This window comes from Homo sapiens, chromosome 13, assembly GCF_000001405.40.
Source record: "Homo sapiens chromosome 13, GRCh38.p14 Primary Assembly".
In the NCBI taxonomy this organism is placed as follows: domain Eukaryota; kingdom Metazoa; phylum Chordata; class Mammalia; order Primates; family Hominidae; genus Homo; species Homo sapiens.
The window spans coordinates 34,865,874-34,868,316 of NC_000013.11; the positions used below are offsets into that span (position 1 = coordinate 34,865,874).

Sequence of the window (2,443 nt, forward strand, 5' to 3'; positions counted from 1 at the left end):
GATGTGGACAACAGCTTTATTTATAACAGCAAAATTTACAGAAAAACACACACCCAATACTAAGAGTTAGAGTTTTGTATATTTATAGGAAAATTATGCAGTTTTATAATTTCAAACCGTTCTTAATGATTTGGGAAAATGCATACCAGAAAAAAAATAGTGGAGAAAAAAGTCAAGATACAAAACAATATACATGAGGGAAAGTTTTTGAAATTTTTTGGTAGTGGCTATGTGGAGTGCTGCATTGAAGGTTATTCTGAAATAACATCTGCGCTCAGCAGGAAAGAAGGCGGTGGCCACTAAATATCTGCTATTGGCCCGAAAGGTGGGAAATAACACCACATATGCCCTCTGATGCCATCCTGTGTAGTACATACAATATGGCTTTAATCACTTATCAGCATATGTGTGTGGAGGATGTGTGTGTGTGTGTGTGTGTGTGTGTATGTAAAATCACTACATTGCAATAATAATTCTCTTCAGATTGTAGATTGGGTGATTTGGATTTTTTGATATTTTTCAAGTTTTCTTTTTTTTTTTTTTCTTGAGACAGCATCTCACTTTGTCGCCCTGGCCAGGGTGCAGTGGCACGATCTTGGCTCACTGTAAATTCTGCCTCCCAGGTTCAAGCAATTCTAGTGCCTCAGCCTACCGAGTAGCTGGGATTGCAGGAGCCCATTACCACGCCGGCTAATTTTTGTACTTTTAGTAGACACAGCGTTTCGCCATGTTGGCCAGGCTGGTAAACTCCTGACCTCAAGTGACCTGCCGGCCTCAGCCTGCCAAAATGCTGGGATTACAGGTGTGAGCCTGTAATCCGCCCAGCCTAGTATTTTTCAGGTTTTCTATGATGCAGTTCAGGACATACTACTGCAAAATGTGGCATCCTGACATAGTGAATATTTTAAGCTGAAGGAATTTGTGAAAACAACAGAAGCAAGGATGTCCTCCTGACCTCTCTTGGTCTTCTCTCTCGGAGCAGGTCATAAAACTTAGGAAGCATTTTCTGACCTTCCCATGAAGCAGGTCTTAAAACCCCCCTGTGAGAGGTGCCCTTCCTATACCCGGAGGAAAGGAACATCTTAATCTCTGAAGATAAAGGCACACAGAAAGGAAGCTGAATGAACAGGCCTTGCTAAATTTCCCCCACTTTTTATACTCTGCTCAACCCCCTTTGTCCTGTGATATTTCTCCACAGCTGTCCACCCTCCATCGAAACTCATGTAAAAACATTCAGGTTTCACTGCTTCTTTGGGGCTTCATTTTTTTTTTACGAAAACTCCCATGTCACATAAAACTTATATTAAATAAATGTGCATGCTTTTGTCTTGTTAATCTATCTTTTGCTACAGGAGCCGCAGCCAATGAACCTAAGATGACAAAGAAGACATTTTCCCTCCCCTGCATCTACATCAAACACATATTGGTTTTACATTAATTTTTGTTTTAGATTTTCGAACTGTTCAGATGATATTTTAACTAGAATATTACATTCACCCTGGGGAAAGCCACAGGGGTGGGGGATAATTTTTGTAGAGAAAATAAATTTTGTATGTCCTTTCATTGCTTTTCCAGAAGGGAAAATGTATTATCAGAGTTAGGGATATCTTCCCCAGTACAGGTTAGTTCTAACTCTCTTGGAATTTGGTTATGAAAAAGAATGTGACCTTTTGTCTCCTATAGAAATTCAAGCACTTGAAAAAAGATTTCTGTGAATGAACTTAAAAAAAGCATCAATTTTTGTCAGTATAGATAGCCAAAGGGCCTGGACTAATAAGACCACATTTGAAAGTGCCAGTGTTACGGTGAGCTTTTAAAATTTTAAACCAATTAGTGATGCTTTTAATGTCTCTTACTAGCTTGTATACTGCTGAGTCATTCCCACGCTTGAAGCTGATTTTGATATTTTCACAGCTCAGATTTCTTTGCAGAGAGTACTTACCAGGTTAAGAAGCGAGTGAGCGTGGTTGCATGACTGAATTTCTTCCACTTTGTGAGGCTGTCTCAGAATTGGAAACCCCAAGCTTCCTGGAGTCAGGGAAAAAGGGCCCAGATGCAGCTCTCCCTTTGATTAGCTCTATGACCTGAGACAAGTCACTTTCTCTGTTCTCTTTCAGAGTTTCCACATTTATAATATGAAAATATACTATAACTGCCCTCCAGGGCAAAATATATGAGGATAAATTGAGTAAAAGATGTGAGATGTATAAGCAGATGGGAGGCTATCTTTCCTTCTGGGTCTCACTCCCAGTTGACCATGTACAAATCCTTCCTAAGATGTTAACTGATAATTAGGATGTTAATTAGCAGCAAGCAGTCCGCAACATTTGAGCTTCTATAATCAACGTAAATTAAGTGGGATTGTCCCAAATTTCAGAATCAGACAGTATCAGTAAGATGTCCAGTGCCGCCCACAGGAAGCTTTGGGGGAGAATGTTCTCGG

At 40.0% G+C, this 2,443-nt stretch overlaps 1 annotated feature.

The window, feature by feature from the left end:
* Positions 999 to 2,198: an enhancer, noted in NCBI's record as "MED14-independent group 3 enhancer chr13:35441009-35442208 (GRCh37/hg19 assembly coordinates)". NCBI's record gives its function as "activates an origin of replication core promoter dependent on BRD2, BRD4, P300/CBP and CDK7 cofactors, and independent of MED14, by STARR-seq in HCT116 cells {active_cell/tissue: HCT116}" and the evidence as "EXISTENCE:reporter gene assay evidence [ECO:0000049][PMID:35650434]".